The 20,211-nt window shown below is 37.2% G+C and overlaps 1 protein-coding gene across 4 annotated transcripts in view; it reads right to left on the bottom strand.

Moving 5' to 3' along the window:
• Positions 1-413: 413 nt before the first annotated feature.
• The window catches only part of TMTC2 (transmembrane O-mannosyltransferase targeting cadherins 2), a 447,961-nt gene continuing 428,163 nt past the window's right edge, over positions 414-20,211 (bottom strand). For all 4 annotated transcript variants that reach the window (XM_017018884.3, NM_152588.3, NM_001320321.2 and 1 more), the window contains one exon: positions 414-3,070. In XM_017018884.3, the coding sequence (XP_016874373.1) occupies positions 2,891-3,070 (180 nt within the window). In that variant the 3' untranslated portion in view covers positions 414-2,890. The remainder of the gene's footprint in view (positions 3,071-20,211) is intronic.

Genomic DNA, 20,211 nt, shown 5'->3' with positions numbered 1-20,211 from the left:
TGCACTCACATTTCTCAGCAGAATAGGGGCGTGCTTACAGCCAAGACCAGAACTAGAGATTCAGTGTCTTCTAAACATGGCGATTTTTACCAAACAACCTACTGAAGCCAGAAACTTATAAATTTGCCCTTCTTGGATTATTTCATAGCTTCTTTTCCCATAGCTCATCAACCAAAGAAAACAAGACAAACTTTGTCATTTTTTCTAAGTATGGTAAACCGGGTGATATTGGCAATGCTTACTTGCATTACAATAACTTTTAAAAATGATGATTATTAATTATACATTAACCACAATGTGTCTCTATTCGATGCTCAACCTCTACTCTTTTTAATCTCTTACTTAGTTTCGTTAAAACTTCAGAGTTTAAGTGTTGTTGCTGTAGAAGATTTAAAAACGGCTTACACAATATATTTCTTATCAATGCTTTATTGTTGAAAACAAAATTGAAATTCTCTGGCACATAAAACAATTATTTCTACAAAAGGAAAGCCTACAAATCTTGATAATTTATACAAATAACAGTTTCTCAAAAAATAAAATTTTAATTTAGTAAACTTGTCTTGTGCTCTATATTTTTAGCACTGTCTGCAATAATCCACCATAAATCCCTGAGCGGAGACATTTTTTGATCATGTTCTAACGCCCACCCCCCCTTGCCCCAACCCTCCCCCCGAAGTTGGTCAGTTACTAAGTCCAGCCCTGTAGTGAAAAGTGTCAGGGACATTTAGTTATTAATGATCCGTGCATTTTATGACACAGGCCCAATTATTAACGCTACTTGGGAACTGGTGTCACAAGAAGTGCCTCAACTGTGCATTCAGTGAACCTATTAAGAACCACATCTTTGAAAGGAAGAACAACAACAATAAAAAGATAAAATGTTAAGACTAGAAAGTCATCATAGGTCAATAACTATTTAAATAAATACAAATGTTAGACACTGAATTAATCTCTATAGCCTTATATTAAATTCCTTTTTTTTTTTTGCAATTGCCAATGCACTAAAAGATGAATAATACACTTCAACCCACTATTTTGGTTTGACCACGGGTTTGTTGTTAAATATCATTCTGAAAACACAGTGATTTAGTTATAATTTAACTTTTGGCCCTTCAGTGAAATGTTTACAAAATAATATATATATTACAGAAGGGCTTTCTTATTAATGCCATGAAAAAACCTTTCTCACTACATTTACCCTTCTCACAAAAACACTAATGCCATAGGAACACTACTTTCAATTATTTATCCCACTGTATTCAGATACATAGAAAAACATAAAATATGGAGAAAACATAATATGATGTATTTGCATGTCCAGCTTCTTTTTAATGGAGAGGCTGATCATATATACATGGAGTGTGAAAGGGAAGGAGAAACAGGTAATTTTCAGTTGCAAAGAACTGGCTTAATGCATCAAGTTTTGTTATTCTGCTATAGTAGAATAATAAATAAATAAATATGTAGGGTATAGTATAGCTACTTTCTCTGTGAAGAAGTTGATAACGGACTAGTGTTTTATGAAGTTAATTTTTAGTGGCAAAGTTTGATTGCAAGCCAAAAATGTTCAATAAAAATGTTGTTCTCTACTTAATTTATAGTCTTTTTCTTGTGAAATGATCATTGAAGTAGTTACTAACAGGTAATGAAATAAAATACCAATTTTGCTAGTGAAAAATAGTTTTCAACTGAGAAAAGCACTTGGCAGAAGACCTAGAAACATGCAGGCTAATGCTACACTCTATTGCAGCTTCAAATAAGTTGTTTTTGATGCCTTTTGAGAAGAACAAACTAAGATGAAAATAATTCCTTGAACATTTATCAGCATTGCTGTTTAGGTACCCATTAGAAAGTGATTAACATTCGATACCTACCCTTTCCAAAACACAAAATCACTGGCAAGCATCATCACACACTCCTAAACCAGCAACATCTGAGAAGCACAAAACACCTTCCCTTTTGTCTAATAACCTGTTGGTTAGTTATTGGAACTGCAAGGCTTACAAACTCCTCCCCTGTCCTTTATCCTTATGTAAGCTTGCACATTCTCCAGGAATAGCTATTTTCAAAGGTAATTTCAAAAGAATTAATACAATGAATTCTACTGGGCAGTTTGGGGGAAAATATTGACGATATTAAAATTTAAAAAATGCCTGCCTGACACATATAAGGCCTCCCCAGTCCCTCATACAACTCGAGTGTGAAGTATGGTTAGCTCTACTCTCCATATCCTTTTCAGAACATAAAAAGCAAATGATGTCCAAAAGAATGAAGCCTCTGACATCCAAATCATAAAACATTATGTGCACTGGTCAAGAAACATAGCAGATTCTGACAGATCTTGACACAGTATTAAAAAAAGTGTTCTAAGCTTCAGAAATTGATAAGCAGGCTGTCCCAAACAGGGAAGACAGCAGCGTTAGGACAACCGGCGGCTCACTGGGACTCACACTACGTGTTTATCACTCCCTCGTAACACTTAACCCTAATTGTTTGCCATGCCTGAATGGACACTCTGACTTCCTCTCACAGTGTTTAAGGAACAACATAATTTTGAAATTAGCTTTCAGAAAATGAACAAAATCTGTGACTTACACACCCACCCCTCCCTTTTTAAGAATGCCAAAAGGTTCTGTTTTAAGTGCTCTGGTTTACAGTCTATGGGTAACAATGACATCCTCCAGGAGGTTTCCGGCTTTCCCCTTTTTGGTGTTAACAGCTGTGCCTACAGCAAAGTGGATTCTTCCAGAAGCGGTAGTGACCTCAATGACCTCTGCCCTGGTCTTGAAGTCTAACACCAGCTCTTGTCATAGCACTGCTGGGAAGTTCTGTCTGCTAAGGAAGCCAGCTTTTAAAAATGGAGGAGGATGGGCTTCTGCCTCCTGTGTCAGGTCTTAGAAGTCTTTAAGCCTTGTTTTTCCATGATGTTCCACAGTTTGCGGAGATTGGACTGTGTGATGACATCGTCTGGCTTGAGCTGCAGGGCCCGCAGGTAGTTGGCCTCGGCCTTCTGGAGTCTGCCATTGAGGTGCAGAATGGCTCCCAGGTTCATCAAAGCAGCCGGATACTGCAACAAGAGAAAGAAGGAAAACAATTAGGAGGCCATTTCAAGCTTTCCTTCATGGAAAACAAAAATCTTCATCCACTTATGCAAATAATTCCCTTATGTCTAGAGGCATTTTGTGAAAGCAATTTAGCAATTTATACAAACAGATAAAGATAACTAGGAAGATGGAAAGTTTTCAAACACCTGCTGTGTACTTTGTGCTTTAAAAAGGACAGGCTTCTAGAGAAATAGTATTTTTTCTTTAATGAGAAAGCATAGGTAACATATGAAGATCTAAAAGCCTAATCAGATGGTACTATTTGAGAAAAAAACCTTTACAAGTGATACAATTTCAGATGGAAAGAATTTATAAAAATTTCAATTCAATGACAAGAAATAAAAAATAAGTGGGTAAAGTTGACAAATCCATATCTATTCATTCTTTGTTTTCTCTTCTTAGCAATATCCCAGGCTTTTAACACAAAACAATTAAAATAAACTATGAAATTTTACGGATGTTTTTGGGTAAAAATCCTGAAAAAAATTAAAATGCAACCACTAAAGCCCTTCCCAAACCTGAGTTGTTCAACAAGGCAAAGTCTTTATTTTTAAAAGCCAAACACTGTTTAACCTGTAATGATGAATGTTTACCATAGAGTGAAGTAAAAAATCCAAATAGATAAAATATGGCAGAGAAAAATGAAACCTTTCTAAGAAAAATTTTATATTACTTATTAAAAAGTAGTTAAGTAATTCTCATAGAATTTTCAATAATGCGTAATAATTGCAATACAAAGCTATCACATGTGGAAAAAAGGTTAAAAGTGTTTTTTACATGGCATGAGTTATGTTGCACCAGTTTAATACAAAGGTTTTCATCCCCAAATTCTCAGACATTAGTTAACAACAGCAAAAGTCCCTCCCAAAGGAAAATATATTTTGCTTGCTCTTTATAAATAAGGCTGTTCTGCTCCTGTCCCTGGAACATTCTGGCTAACAGAAAGCAGATAATATTTTGGCAGTTACACAAATGCATATTTCAAATATCAGATAAAATTAAAGTGTTTATGCTATGATTACACTTTCATTTTGCAGATCGTGTCAACTATTAATTGTCCTTCAATTCTGTGTTAAAGTCCGAAATCACAATTATTTTTAAGATTTGGTGTTTTCACAAGACATGCACTTTTCAGCTGAATTCATGTGACTCTACTCTTTACCGTAAAATCAATTATTTCTGAACCAAAAGCAATGCTACAGGGGAGAGTAGAATAGCTAGAATAAATTGACTTGGGGGATTTTGGATTTTTAAGAGATCTGGGTTTGAGTTCCTGTTCAACCACTGTCAATGACCTTGGTGAAATCCCCTAACATATCTGTGCCCTTCCTTCATTTGTGAAATACTGAAATAATATCAACTTTGCATGCTGTTAGATAGATACAGTGAAAAAAATAAACAAATATACATAGCAGAATGCAGGTACAAATTAGACACTCTACAAATATCACGATCAATTTTCCTTATCTCATTTTGCTTGAAGTCTAGCACATACATGTTTGTGATTTTTATGTTGTTGGGCAGTCTTTAAAATTTTGATTTCAATAGCTACATATGTCTCTGGATATAGATACTAAAATTCCCTTAAATCTTCAACTACTGGGCATTATTTTTAAACCTTTCTATATCATTTTCTCTTTTACAAAAATAATGCTGCAAATATAAGCTATTCCTGACCTTCAAAAACCTTTTTGGTCAGGATGACTCCATACTTATCAAGAAAAATACAGATGGTCAACTTCTAATTTTAAACACCGATCCAAATAAACATAGCTCTAAATGACATGTGCAGTGAAAAGCTCCACATTGGAAACTGAAAATACCACCACCTACTCTGTCTTCCTAAAAGAACTTTGTTATCACACCACTGTTATTATCCTGAGTTCCTTGCAGCTCGGACACATTTCTGAATTATGTCCCCTCACAGTGCTTAGCACAACTATCAATAAACAGCCACTAAACTGATGGTGAAGTATGCTCACAGCCTAAATTACTAAAGATGCTAAGTAGATACAATGTTCAGATTCCTGCTATCCTGAGTGGGAAGAGTGGAAATAGGGAGGGAGAACCACTGTTGGAGACCATTCCTTACTATCCAGAAATGGAAGAGGCCCAGTGATGAGGTTGAGAGAAAACAGATGGCTCTGTGGGATAGTCATTATTTCTTGAATCACTTTATTACCAAAGTGTCTGCACCTATAGTGTCTGTATCTATTATTTCAACTCAAAGGGATTATTAAAAACACTCAGAGGTTATGGAGTCAGACTGCCTAGGTTCAAATACCAGCTCTACCACAGAGATGTGGGCACTTGAACAAGTTGGGTGAGGGCTTGTAATCTCAGTTTCCTTTACAAATGGGATGCCAGCATTTTGTTGCTGTAAATATCATATGAGAATACCCACATTATTGTCATTTTCCTTTCCTTTTCCTTATCATTTCAAAAACACAAAGTAGAACCTCCTTGTTAGTGTGCCTGAACAACCACTGAATCTACAAACTGAGGATTTCTGAACTGGCTTCATGTTTACTAGCTTTCTAGCCTTTTTAAGGTTAAACCTGTAAGAGGTAGATGTGAAAATGGATGGTAAAGTCGATCATGCCACATAAATAGACCTCACTATTATTACTAAATTGCAGCCTGAGGCTTCTTTGTCCTTCAAACACTTATGGAGTTACCTACCTGCCATCAAATGATGAAACAAATTTTGTATTTTAATATTAGTCTAAGAAAACTCATCCAGGAAGTTAAATCTGTTCTGATGAATGAGTTCTAAATGCTAATTGTAATGGGGTTTTTGTAATCACTTTAATTTTGCATTATCCACACCAGTGTGTTACTCATTAAACAAAAATAATCATAGTTACCATGGGATAACCGCTCCCAGCAAAGCCCACATATACTCATTAATTGCTTCCCCTAATGGCTAAAAAATATGGAAACTAAAAATGTGAATATTTAAGAATATTATTCAACATATTTAAGCAGCTATACATTTCAGGTTCAGTTATAACATTTTGGTGTAAATATAAATGGCTATTTTAGTAAAATAAAATTTTTTATTTCAAAAACCTACAAATGTGCATTATGTAATGCTTAAAACATCACAATAACTTCTTGAGTGAAGGAAACATGAAATTTATACAGATATGCTAAAATGTGACATATGTAATAAGTATCATCGCCCTAGATAACTGCTTTGAAAGTCAACGTTTATTCTGACATAAAAAATTTCATGTGTTTATTAAAAATTGATGAATAAGACTGGGTATAGACTCTACTTTTTACAACATGGTTGTTTTCTCTCTTCAAAGACAGGGGCTTTATCTTTTAAGCCTGTCATGTCTCCCCTCTACATCTGTGCTAGGGAAGTTTAATGGATGCCCACTGGACTGAATTCCTTCAGTTCTTCTAGCTGAGCACACAGACTATAGTCCAGGGAGTTGCATCAGCATCCCCTGGCAGCTTGACAGAAATGCAGAATTTCAGGCCCTGCCTACTGAATCAGAATTTAAATTTTAACAAGAAACCCAGGTGCCTTGTAAGCTCATTAAAATTTGAGAAGCACTGTTCTAAAGGTAATTTCTAGATCATAGATTATATCATTTCACAGCTTCTGTGAATTGATATTTCCTGTAAGAGCTTATAATGTATAGAACAAAGTATATCGGAGGATAGAACACCTATCCTCCCCCAAAATAGAATTCTTCTCTTGGTCATTCAATTATTTAAGTTAGGAAATGTTCAAATAATCTTTTTTTTTTTAAGCAGAAGCCATAAATGACTAAATGTTATTAGACAGAAGGATAAGGTATGAAAAGCCTTTTGATAACCAAACAAGAACACATAAAGTTTTCTAAACAGACTCAAAGTCTACCTAACTCTAATACTGAAATGCAAAAATTTCAGGTAACTGGCTGTTGGATTACATACTGGTGTCCTTGCTCTCTGCCAGCTGTAGCTCATGGGCTGGGGAAGAGAAACTCAATGACAACTGCTCAGATCTTTCCCTATACACATGGTCTTTTATTAAAGACAACTGATGAAATTTTCAGTATGTTAACCAAAGCAGTCAGTAGCTTGCAGCCCAGTAACATGGGGCTCCTGCTTCTGTACAACAAATGACACCATCTCCTACTTCACAGGCTAGAAAGGAGAACCAGACATTCCTTGTTTCCTTGAAGAGGACAGATGCTTTATATCAAAGGGACTGACTGGCAGCCATACTGAAACAGAAAATGATATATTTTTGATATATATTTTTTAAGTCGCTAGGGATTTCTGCCTTGTTATTTTACTGTGGTCTTTGGCTTATTTCTTCAACTGTGGAGGAAATATGCAAAATTTAAAATAATGGATGTATATTGTGGTGGGGAGAGCAAAGGCAAGATGATGGAGGTCTGATTCTAGTTTAAGGCCCTTGAGACTCTCAAGGAATGCAGCTGAGCTCACAGGGTATTGTGAACACACAGGATTGGAACACAAAATCATTGTTCTGGCCTAAGCTTATCATGTAGGATTGGAAAGAAAATAACAGAAAAGGAATAGTAAGACTATGTGGGGATTTAGGGTTGGGAATCCATGTTTCTACTGGGATCAGGAGTAATGTAGAACTCCGAAAAGACGAACTGAGTGGGTCCCAGAAGAAAACAAAAGAGAAAAGCGTTTGGTTGAGATATTCTATTTAGTCAGGAGTTGGATACCCCTGCAGTAGTTGGGCTCTCTTGTATCCCATTGGTCTCTGTGGCCATTTCCGTTTTATGAAGGATAATCAACAGGCAAGAGGAGTTATGAGAAAGATGAAGACAGAGATAATAGACCAATATTTCTAATTGTTTAAATAAATTTATTTCCATTCAAAGGATTTATTCATGTTGCTAAAATTATCCTGACTTGCATATTTACTGTTGAGTAAACTAAATAACTTTTAAAAAGAGTGACTGAAGTTAGCCTTACCTAGTTATTACTCAATTAATACACAACACATCTTTGGGATATTTTCAAGATAACTACCTTCAACTGTCCTTATGAATATAATTTGCAAACTTAAATGAGTTTGCAGTCTGAACTTTTTGATGGATTCTCACTCTTTTTAAAGTAGCTATCAAATAACTTAAGGAAGGCTGCATACTGGCATTCAACTGTATTCAGTTGAAATTGCTTGCCCAATTGAACTTACTGAAGCAGCAACTGTACCATGATGCTTAAAAATGAATAGTATAAACATTTTAAGAAACATATTAATGAAAAGGCATTTATGCATACATTTAATGGATCTCTTTGTATTTATTTGTGCCTTATACATGGCAGATATTTAATAAATAATTACTAAAGTTTTTAAGATAACCTGTTAAGCTTCAGGAAAAAAAAAAGAATGTTAAATACCTCATTCCTTTCACTTTCAACATCACTCTCCTCCTTTGTTTCATGGGCATGCTTAATGGTTTGATGCAAGGTAGAAACTATATAAATTATCTTGGATTCCTTGCCCCCCCACCCATATACATACTCACATCCAATTGTTAAGTCTTGATAACTTTACAACCAAATCGCTCTTCAATCTGTCTTCGAATTTTATCCTACCCCTTTTGTCCAACTTGGTTCAGGCCCTTATCATCTTTTTCTGGATTACTTAAATAATTCTGACAGAAATAAAAGAATATACAAATAGGTAGCAGTACAGATTGATGGCTGATTGACAAAATGAATAAAGAAACGTATGACTAAAGCCATATGCAGGTTTTTTATTATATTTTAGGCATAAAAAATTTCACAGAATACAACAAACATTGTATACTTGCCTAACAAATATAACTTTATAAATACAACTGAAGTCCCTAAATCTCTCTCCCTATCCTATTCCTGACCATCCCCAGGAGAAAACTACAATCCTGAAATTGGTGCTTAACAGTCCAGTACACATTTCACACTTTTACTATTTGTGTACCCATAGCAAATGTAAATATTATTTATAAATTTTAATTTTATATATTAGGCATCATCCATCCTGGAATGCCATCTTGCCAAACACTCATTTGAAACTTGAAATTTTGTTCAACATTTTATTTTTCAGACTTAGACATCTTGATATATGTAAGATTTGTTCCTTCACATTAATTACACTGAATACCTTCTCTTAATGATGGAATGCAGACTCTTTAAAAGAGGGCTGCCATCAATTCTTGTGCATATGTCTACATATACTTAGGGAAGAGTTTCTAGGAACAGAATTGTGGGGTCACAGGGGATCTTTGACTTTGCTAGCTATTACCAAATTGCTTTTCAAAGCAGTTGTATCAAAATGCATTAATATAACAGGAGTCCCTTTATTCTATATCCTTAATAACACTTGGTATTGTCTAATTTTTAAAGTTTTCTTGAATTGAAAGTTGCAAAAATAGTGTGAACTGGCTATCCCAAATCTGAAAATCTGCAATCTGAAATCCTTCAAAATCTAAAACTGTTTGAATGCAGACATAATGCTCAAAGAAAATGCATTTCAAATTTCAGATTTTCTATTCTCAACTGGTAAAAGTATAATGCAGATATTCCAAAATGTGAAAAAGCTAAAATCTGAGATTGGGATTTCTGGTCCCAAACATTTTGGACAAGGAATACTCAATCTGTATCTTTCTATGCACTTAATTTCTTTTCACTGATTACTAGAGAGGTTAAAAACATTTTCATAAGGTTATAAGCTCTTTATATTTCCTCTTTGGTGACCCACCTGTTCTTAACATTTGTACAAAATAAGATAATAACATAACATCATACAAAATATCACCTACATGGTCATATTTGAAAGGTAGGAACACAGAGCCCCAACTACCTCAAAATTGGTCCTAAATACGACTGCCTACCTTGTTGCTTCCATTGGGAACCAGATAGCCACTACTTCTAAAATGAAAAATCTGTTATAAACAAAACAGAGAATCTTTGATATAAGTTCACTCAAGGTAATGATAGAAATCTGGGCAGCCAGACAGTAGACCTCTGGGAGAGGCAGTGGGATCTCCATGGATGTCTCAACATTAACCATGGTAAATCCTGGATGAATGAATACGGGAGGACAGCAGCTCCTAGCTAGCCAGCATGCAGAATAACCTTTATAGCCTTTCTGTATCCAGAATCCTTGTTTTCTTCTTAGTTCCTTTTCCAGGGACAACAAAAAAATTTAAGATGAACAATATGTTTCATATTTTACCTCTCTTTACTACTCTTCATTTCTACTGGCATCATGTAAATTTAGCATCTCATCCCACTCCTTAACCTCCATCAGCCTCCTGTTATTCTCCCTATCTTCAGTTTCTTTTTATTCCAATCTATCTCCCACCTAATATTTGTCTTTCTAAAACGCAAATCATGTTTCAGAGGTTTTGATTTATGACTATAGAAAAGGATCCAAATTCTTCAGCCAGTACTAAGAAGCCCCATTTTTACCTGACATCCAAAACATTCTCTCAATGTACATTGTGTCTGAGCCACCTGAAACTTCTATTTCTGTCATGGGCTCTTTTGAGCATTCATTCCTTATCGTAGACTGCTCCATTGACAAAGTCCTTCTTCCACCCTCTCTGACAAACTTCTGCTCATTAAAAAAAAAAAAAAAGATTTCAACAATTTCTTATTCATAGCTTACTTCTTTATGTTCCCATAGTGCTGTCTACATGCATTAATTGCTACACTTACCAGAGTGAATTACAGCTACTTGTTATAAGTGTCTATCTTCTTTGCTGGAAGATGAAAAAGCCAGTGAATTTATCCTAATTGTCTTTATAGTACTGGTGCTAAGCTTTGCCATATAAAATAAACTCTCAATGAATGTTTGCTGAAAGAAGACAAATTTGTATGTGCTAGCAGAAAAACCTGATGTAGGAGAGGTAAATTCTATACCAATCTCAATGTAATTTAACACATATTTATTGACCACTTATTATATGTGCTCGGCCAGACAATGGATACGCAGTGAACAAAAGCAATATATATTTTTAGTCTGTATGTAGCTTGAAGTAATTTTAAGTACATACTTGGCATTTACTATAACCTATTAGGTGTAACTTCATTGTCTCATTTATGCCCTTCAGACCGAAAGAGGGAGGTGAAACTGTTATCCATGCATCAATGTAAGCAGTATAGAAGAGGACTGCACAGAGGATGGATTCACTGCCCTTAAGGAGTTTACAGTCCAGTGCATGAAGACAAATTCTACTACTCCAAAGGAAGAATCAGGTGTGTCTACAAAGGAGATACTAAGACTGAGCTGTGGGGGAGAGGGGATATTATTTCCTTACGGGTATAAGAATATTAGACAACAAGAATTGTTAGGTTGCTTCAGGTCTCTTAGACTCCCAGAATGAGAATATGACATGAACTTTTGAAATTGGTGGGTAGCATCAAAATCAATTTGGTACTTTAAAAAACATTTTTAGCAGACTGCTGAGAGCAGAGCCAGGAGTGAAGAGTCGCCCCAATAGAGGGGAGTCAGAATTTCAATTAATTTGGGGATTAAGTTGTCAGCAGTGATAATCATGATGTTAACCCTTCTGGCACCAACCAAAATGAAAAAAATAAGTCCTTACTTAAAATGCAAGATTAATACAATTAAACAAATGATCTTCACAAAAGGCTATCATAAAACAAAACCCCATAAGCAATGCAACACTCCCAATTCAGAAATGATAGTTCTTTGTAGTCTTATTTTGACTACAGTCATATTTTGAATAAATCAAAAAAGATTTACAAAATTGGAGACATAGCAAGGGAAAACACAGAAAATCTAGCAATGGCAAGGCAAATTCTGACAGATCATGGAAATGATTCATTTTGAATCTCAGTTTCAACACAGTATTTGTGCTTTTGAAATGGCTTTGAATAAAACAAATCAGACACAGATGACAACTAAGACAACAATGCTGTATAAAGGGAGTACTTTCAATTTGTCAGAGACACATTTTATCCTGTGTGCTCAATCCTTCCCTCCTACGTCTGCCTCGTCCCAGTGGGTGTTACAAGAATGTTCATTTAACTTTTATGATGGGTGTGATTGTCACAGTGTTGGGTGTTATACATTTCTATGGCTATCAAAATGCCAACAGTTTTGGTTTGGGGGAAGAGCAAACAGTGATTGTAACAGAGCAATTTCAAAGGTGGTAGTTATTTCTAACAGACTTTAAAGTGCATCTACTAACTTAAGAATATTACCCCGGAAATTATTCTTCAGTAAAGACGATCCTATTTTCAAAGCTGGGTTTCTTGATGTCTTTAATGTCACAGGAACATCTTTCACATGACTCAAATGCAAAACCTAGAGAACTGTGAGAGATCATGGCAGACGGGAGGCAGGACTAGATTGCAGCTCTGATTGGACAGACAGAGCAGCCTGTGGAGGATCCATGCTGAATTTTTGCTCCAGAACAACTGCAGGAATAAATCAGGAAATCTGAGAGGACCCACATACCCTCTGAAGGAAGGGGAATGCTCCCGCAGGACACGGGAGACACCCCAAATACTGTGAGTGCCCAAACTGTGGAAGTGGGAAAAGGAGGTCATCCGCCCCCGAACACACACCCCCACTGGCGAAAATGAAAATCTTGATTACGGGAGAAGATTGTGACTTTGCCTGGAGCTGAGTCAATTTAGACAGCTGAGTGAAATACAGGGCTAGAGGAAGCAGCGGAAAAAAGCTCTGTACACTTGCTGGGTTCCGTAGCAAGCCATCTCTGCCTGGCCTCACAGGGGTCCTTCAGGAGGGTGGCCAGAGGCACTGGGAAAAGGCCCCAGGGAGAAGGAAATCTCCAGCTGAAGTTTGTAACAATGTGAACTGATCAGGAAGTCTCCTGGCCAGAACTTGGGGGAGGACATGAATCTAGTGTGCAGACTCCACAGGCGGGGGAAGAAGGAAAGCGACACTTGCTTTCATAGCTGGGAGGTGGGTAGCATGGGGTAAGTTCTCAGCCCTGCCTGCCCACTGCCTGGAAACAGACTCGGCGAAACTTGCTTTCATAGCTGGGAAGCGGGTAGCATGGGGTAAGTTCTCAGCCCTGCTTGGCCACTGCCTGGAAACAGACTCAGTGACACTTGCTTTCACAGCTGGGAAGCGGGTAGCATGGGGTAAGTTCTCAGGCCTGCTGGCCCACTGCCTGGAAACAGACTCGGTGCTGTTGGTGGGGGCATGGTGGGAGTCAGACCGGCCCTTCAGATCGTGTGGGAGCTGGGTGAGGCCTGGGACTGCCAGCTTTCCCCCACTTCCCTGACAACCTGCATGACACAGCAGGGACAATCATAATCCTCCTAAGAACATAACTCCATTGACCTGGGAACCTCATCCCTATCTCCAACAGCAGTCGCAGCAATACCTGCCCAAGGAGAGTGAGCTCAGACACGCCTAGCCCTGCCCCCAACCAATGGTCCTTCCCTACCCACCCTGGTAACTGAAGACAAAGGGTATATACTCTTAAGAGTTCTAGGGCCCCACACACCGCCTGTTCCTCCCCATACTACCACAGCTTATGCTCTCTGGGAAGCGCCACATCCCAGCAGGAGGCCAACCAGCACAAAAAGAGTGCATTAAACCACCAAAGCTAAGAACCCTCAAAGAGTCCATTTCACCCCCCTGCCACCTCCACCAGAACAGGTGCTGGTTTCCACAGCTGAGATACCCACGGATGGTGCACATTATAGGATACCATGCAAACAGCCCTCAGTACCAGCACAGAGCCTGGTAGACTTGCTGGGTGGCTAGATCCAGAAAAGAGGTAACAATCACTACAGCTTGGCTCACAGGAAGCCACATCCATAGGAAAAGGGGGAGAGTATTACATCAAGGGAACACACCATGGGACAAAATAATCTGAACAACAGCCTTAAGCCCTAGACCTTCCCCCTAATAGAGCCTACTCAAATGAGAAGGAACCAGAAAACCAATTCTGGTAATATGACAAAACAAGGTTCTTTAACACACCCCAAAAAATCACACTAGTTCACCAGCAATGGATCCAAACCAAGACGAAATCCCTGATTTACCTGCAAAAGAATTCAGGAGGTTAGTTATTAAGCTAATCAGGGAGGCACCAGAAAAAACGAAGCCCAAAGTAAGGAAATTAACAAAAATGATACAAGAAGTGAAGGGAGAAATATTCACTGAAATAGCATAAGTAAAGAACAATAAAAACTTCAGGAAACAATGGACATACTTATAGAAATGCAAAATGCTCTGGAAAGTCTCAGCAATAGAACTGAACAAGTAGAAGAAAGAAATTCAGAGCTCGAAGACAAGGTCTTCAAATTAACCTAATCCAACAAAGACAAAGAAAAAAGAGTAAGAAAATATGAACAAAGCCTCCAAGAAGTCTGGGATTATGGTAAACAGCCAAACCTAAGAATAATCAGTGTTTTTGAGGAAGAAGATAAATCTAAAAGTTGGGAAAACATATTTGGGGGAATAATCGAGGAAAACTTCCCTGGCCTTGCTAGAGACCCTAGACAACCAAATACAAGAAGCACAAAGAACACCTGGGAAATACATTGCAAACAGATCATCACCTAGGCACACTGTCACCAGGTTATCCAAAGGTAAAGGAAGGAAAGAATCTTAAGAGTTGTGAGACAAATGTACCAGGTAACCTATAAAGGAAAACCTATCAGAGTAACAGCAGATTTCCCAGCAGAAATTCTACAAGCTAGAAGGGCTTGGGGCCCTAGCTTTAGCCTCCTCAAACAAAACAATTCTCAGCTAAGAATTTTGTATCTAGCAAAACTAAGATTCGTCTATGAAGGAAAGATACAGTCTTTTTCAGACAAACAAATGCTGAGAGAATTCACCACTACCAAGCCACCAGTACAAGAACTGCTAAACGGAGATCTAAATCTTGAAACGAATGCTGAAAACACACCAAAACAGAACCTCTTTAAAGCATAAATCTCACAGAACCTATAAAACAAAAATACAAGTTAAACAGCAAAAACAAAAAACAAAAACAAAGTACGCAGGCAACAAATAGCACGATGAATGAAATGGTACCTCATGTCTCAATACTAACGTTGAATGTAAGTGGCCTAAATGCTCCACTTAAAAGATACAGAATTGCAGAATGTTTAAGAATTCACCAGCCAACTATCTGCTGTCTTCAAGAGACTCATGTAACACATCAGGACTCACATAGGTAAAAGGGTAGAAAAAGACATTTGACGCAAATGGACACCAAAAGTGAGCAGGAGGGGCTATTCTTAAATCAGACAAAACAAACTTTAAAGAACAGTAGTTAAATAATACAAAGAGGGACATTACATAATGATAAAAAGCCTTGTCCAACAGAAAAATATCACAATCCTAAACATATATGCACTTACACTGGAGCTCCCACATTTATAAAATGACTACTAGACCTGAGAAATGAGAGAGACAGTAACACAGTAATAGTGGGGGACTTCTATACTCTACTGACAGCACCAGACAGGTCATCAAGACAGAAAGTCAATGAAGAAACAATGGATTTAAACTATACCCTGGAAGAAATGGACTTAACAGATATATACAGAACATTCCATCCAACAACCACAGAATACATTGTATTCAACAGCAGATGGAACTTTCTCCAAGACAGACCATATGATAGCCCACAAAACGAGCCTGAATAAATTTAAGAAAAGTGAAATTATATCATGCACTCTCTCACACCACAGTGGAATAGAACTGGAAATCAACTCCAAAAGGAACCTTCAGAACCATGCAAATACACGGAAATTAAATAACCTGATCCTGAATGATGATTGAGTTAAAAATGAAATAAAGATAAAAATTTAAAAATTCTTCGAACTGAATGACAATAGTGACACAACCTATCAAAATCTCTGGGATACAGCAAAGGTGCTGCTAAGAGGAAAGTTCATAGCCCTAAACATCTATATCAATAGCTCTGAAAGAGCACAGGCAGACAATCTAAGGTCACACCTCAAGGAACTAGAGAAACAAGGACAAACCAAACCGAAACCCAGTAGAAGAAACAACCAAGATCAGAGCAGAACTAAATGAAATTGAAACAAAAAAATCCAAAAGATAAATGAAACAGAACACTGGTTCTTTGAAAAGATATATAAAATCGATAGACCATTAGCAAGATTAACCAAGAAAAAAGAAAATCCAAATAGGCTCAATAAGAAATGAAATAGAAGATATTACAACTGACACTACAGAAATACAAAAGATCATTCAGCGCCACTATGAACACGTTTATGTACATAAACTAGAAAACCTAGAAGAGATGGATAAATTCCTGGAAAGATACAGCTCTCCTAGCTTAAATCAGGAAGAATTAGACACCCTGAACAGATCAATAACAAGCAGTGAGATTGAAATTATAATTAATTACTGACAAAAAAAGTCCAGGTCCAGATGAATTCACATCAGAATTCTACCAGACGTTGAAAGGTTTGGTACCAATCCTATTGACACTAGATAGAGAAAGAGCGAAGCCTCCTTAATTCATTCTATGAAGCCAGTATCACTCTAATACCAAAACCACGAAAGGATATAACCAAAAAAGAAAACTACAGACTGATATCCCTGATGAACACAGATGCTAAAATCCTTAACAAAATACTAGCTAACCGAATCCAACAACATACCAAAAAGATAATTCACTATGATCAAGTCGGTTTCATTTCACGGATGCAGGGATGGTTTAACATATGCAAGTCAATACATGTGACACACCACATAAACAGAATTAAAAACAAAAATCACATGATCATCTTAATAGATGCCGAAAAAGCATTCAACAAAATCCAGCATCGCTTTATGATTAAAACCCTAAGCAAAATCGGCATACAAAGGACATACCTCAATGTAGTAAAAGCCGTCTCTGACGAACCTACAGGCAACATAATATTGAATGGGGAAAAGTTGAAAGCATTCCCTCTAGAGAACTGGAACAAGACAAGGACACCAACTCTCACTGCTCTTCTTTAACACAGTACTGGAAGTCCTAGCCAGAGCAATCAGACAAGAGAAGGAAATAAAAGGGCATCCAAATCGGTAAAGAGGAAGTCAAACTGTCACTGTTTGCTGATGATATGACAGCATACCTAGAAAACCATAAAGACTCCTCTGGAAAGCTCCTAAAACTGATAAAATAATTCAGCAAAGTTTCTGGATACAAAATTAATGTACACAAATCAGTAGCTCTTCTTTACACCAACAGTGACCAAGCTGAGAATCAAATCAAGAACTCAACCTCTTTTACAAAATAAATAAATAAATAAATAAATAAATAAATAAAATACTTAGGAATATACCTAACCAAGGAGGTGAAGGACCTCTACAAAGAAAACTACAAACACTGCTGAAAGAAATCATAGATGACACAAACAAATGGAAATACGTCTCATGCTCATGGATGGGTAGAATCAATATTGTGAAAATGACCATACTGACAAAAGCAATCTACAAATTCAATGCAACCCCATCAAAATACCAACATCATTCTTCACAGAATTAGAAAAAACAAATCTAAAATTCACAGGGAACCAAAAAGGAGCCCACATAGCCAAAGCAAGACAAAGCAAAAAGAACAAATCTGGAGGCATCACATTACCTGATTTCAAACTACACTATAAGGCCATAGTCACCAAAATAGTGTGGTACTGGTATAAAAATAGGCACATAGATCAATGAAACAGAATAACTCAATAAAGTTATTGACTTGCATATGTTAAACCATCCCTGCATCCCTGAAATGAAACCCACTTGATCGTAGTGAATTATCTTTTCGATATGTTGTTAGATTCAGTTAGCTAGTATTTTGTTAAGGATTTTAGCATCTATGTTCCTCAGGGATATCAGTCTGTAGTTTCCTTTTTCGGTTATGTCCTTTCCTGGTTTTGGTATTAGGGTGATGCTGGTTTTATAGAATGAATTAGGGAGGGTTCCCTCTTTCTCTATCTTGTGTCAATGAAACAGACAAAGCAAACAAAAACAAAGTGGGGAAAGAACACCCTGTTCAACAAATGGTGCTGGGATAATTGGCTAGCCACACGTAAGAGAATAAAACTGGATCCTCAACTCTCACCTGACACAAAAATCAACTCAACATGGATAAGGACTTCAACCTAAGACCTGAAAGTATAAAAATTCTAGACGAGAACACCAGGAAAACCCTTCTAGACATTGGTTGAGGCAAGGATTTCATGATCAAGAGCCCAAAAGCAAACACAATAAAAACAAAGATAAATAGCTGGAACTTAATTAAACTAAAGAGCTTTTGCACAGCAAATGTAACAGCAGAGTAAACAGACAACACACAGAGTGGAAGAAAATCTTCACAATCTATACATCTGACAGAGGACCAATATCCAGACTCTACAATGAACTCAAACAAGTGAGTAAGAAAAAAAAATCCCATCAAAAAGTGGGCTAAGGACATGAATAGACAATTCTCAAAAGAAGATACACAAATGGCCAACAAACATAAGAAAAAATGCTCAACATCACTAATGTTCAGGGAAATGCAAATCAAAGCCACAATGAGATACCACCTTACTCTTGCAAGAATGGCCATAGTCAAAAAATCAAAATAGTAGATGTTGGCATGGATGTGATGAATGGGGAACACTTCTACACTGCTGGTGACAATGTAAACTAGTACAACTACTATGGAAAACAGTGTGGAGATTCCTTAAAGAACTAAAAGTACATCTACCATTTGATCCAGCAATCCCACTAGTGGGTATCTACCCAGAGGAAAAGAAATCATTATATGGAAAAGATACTTGCACATGCATGTTTACAGCAGCACAATTTGCAATTGCAAAAACATGGAACCAACCCAAATGCCTATCAATCAACGAGTGGATAAAGAAACTGTGGTATATATATATACACACACACACACAATGGAATACTACTCAGCCATAAAAAGGAAAGAATTAATGGCATTTGCCACAACCTAGATGAGACTGGAGACTATTATTCTAAGTGAAGTAACTCAGGAATGGAAAACCAAACATCATATGTCTCACTCATAAGTGGGAGCTAAGCTATGAGGATGCAAAGGCGTAAGAATGACACAATGGACTTCAGGGACTCAGGAGGAAAGGGTGGGAAGGTGGTGAAGGATAAAAGATTATAAATAGGAAGGCTGAGGCAGGCACATCACGAGGTCAGGAGTTTGAGATCAGCCTGGCAAACACATTGAAAGCCCGTTTCTACTAAAAATACAAAAATTAGCCAGGCATGGTGGCACGTGCCTGTAGTCCCAGCTACTACGGAGGCTGAGGCAGGGTAATTGCTTGAACCTGGGAGGTAGAGGTTGCAGTGAGCCGAGCTCGTGCGACTGCACTCCAGCTTGGGCAACACTGAGACTTGTCTCAAACAACAACAACAACAACAACAACAGAAACTACAATAGGGTACAGTGTATACTGCCCGGGTGATGGTTGCACCAGTATCTCACAAATCACCACTAAAAAACTTACTCATGTAACCAAACACCACCCGTTCCCCAATAACCTATAGAAATAAAAAAAAAAATAATAAAAAAAAGGAAAACCTAGATCCGAGGCCACCTGTTTCACTCAGTTTTTATAATATGCAATCAGTACTCCACCTTAATTTGCAATAAGCATGCAGCTCATCATTTGAAGTAAAACTGCTAAATAAAAGTTCTATATAAGAAGATATCTGATGTCTCAAAGTACATACAGAATACAAAAAGGATAAAAATAAGTAGAATTTAAGAAATTTAGAAAAGAATATGCACAACAGGCAAGCATCATCTATCTCTCTAAAACACCAAGAGCTGGCTGCCCTTACTAATCTAGATAGCTGCTACAAAATCATACAGTATCTTTTTTTCTTTTCCTTTGAACCAAATTCCTTGTCTGTTTCTATTTGAAATATGATTTAAGCAACGTAATTCATTCTACACTTTGTTTGTTTTTAGCATGAAGGGGAAGGAGGAACATGTGCATGCTTTCTCAATCATAATCATATTACACAGAAGGATTTCCAGCTGTACAGCCCATCCAACTGTGTACGTGTGAGGCATGAGTTTAAAAATACATAATACATGACTGCTCATCCCAAGGAATTGGAACCTGTCACTGGAAT

Source organism: Homo sapiens, chromosome 12 (genome assembly GCF_000001405.40).
Source record: "Homo sapiens chromosome 12, GRCh38.p14 Primary Assembly".
Taxonomy (NCBI): Eukaryota; Metazoa; Chordata; class Mammalia; order Primates; family Hominidae; genus Homo; species Homo sapiens.
Note: the sequence above shows the minus strand (reverse complement) of the source record. Positions and strands in the feature narration are given on the sequence as shown.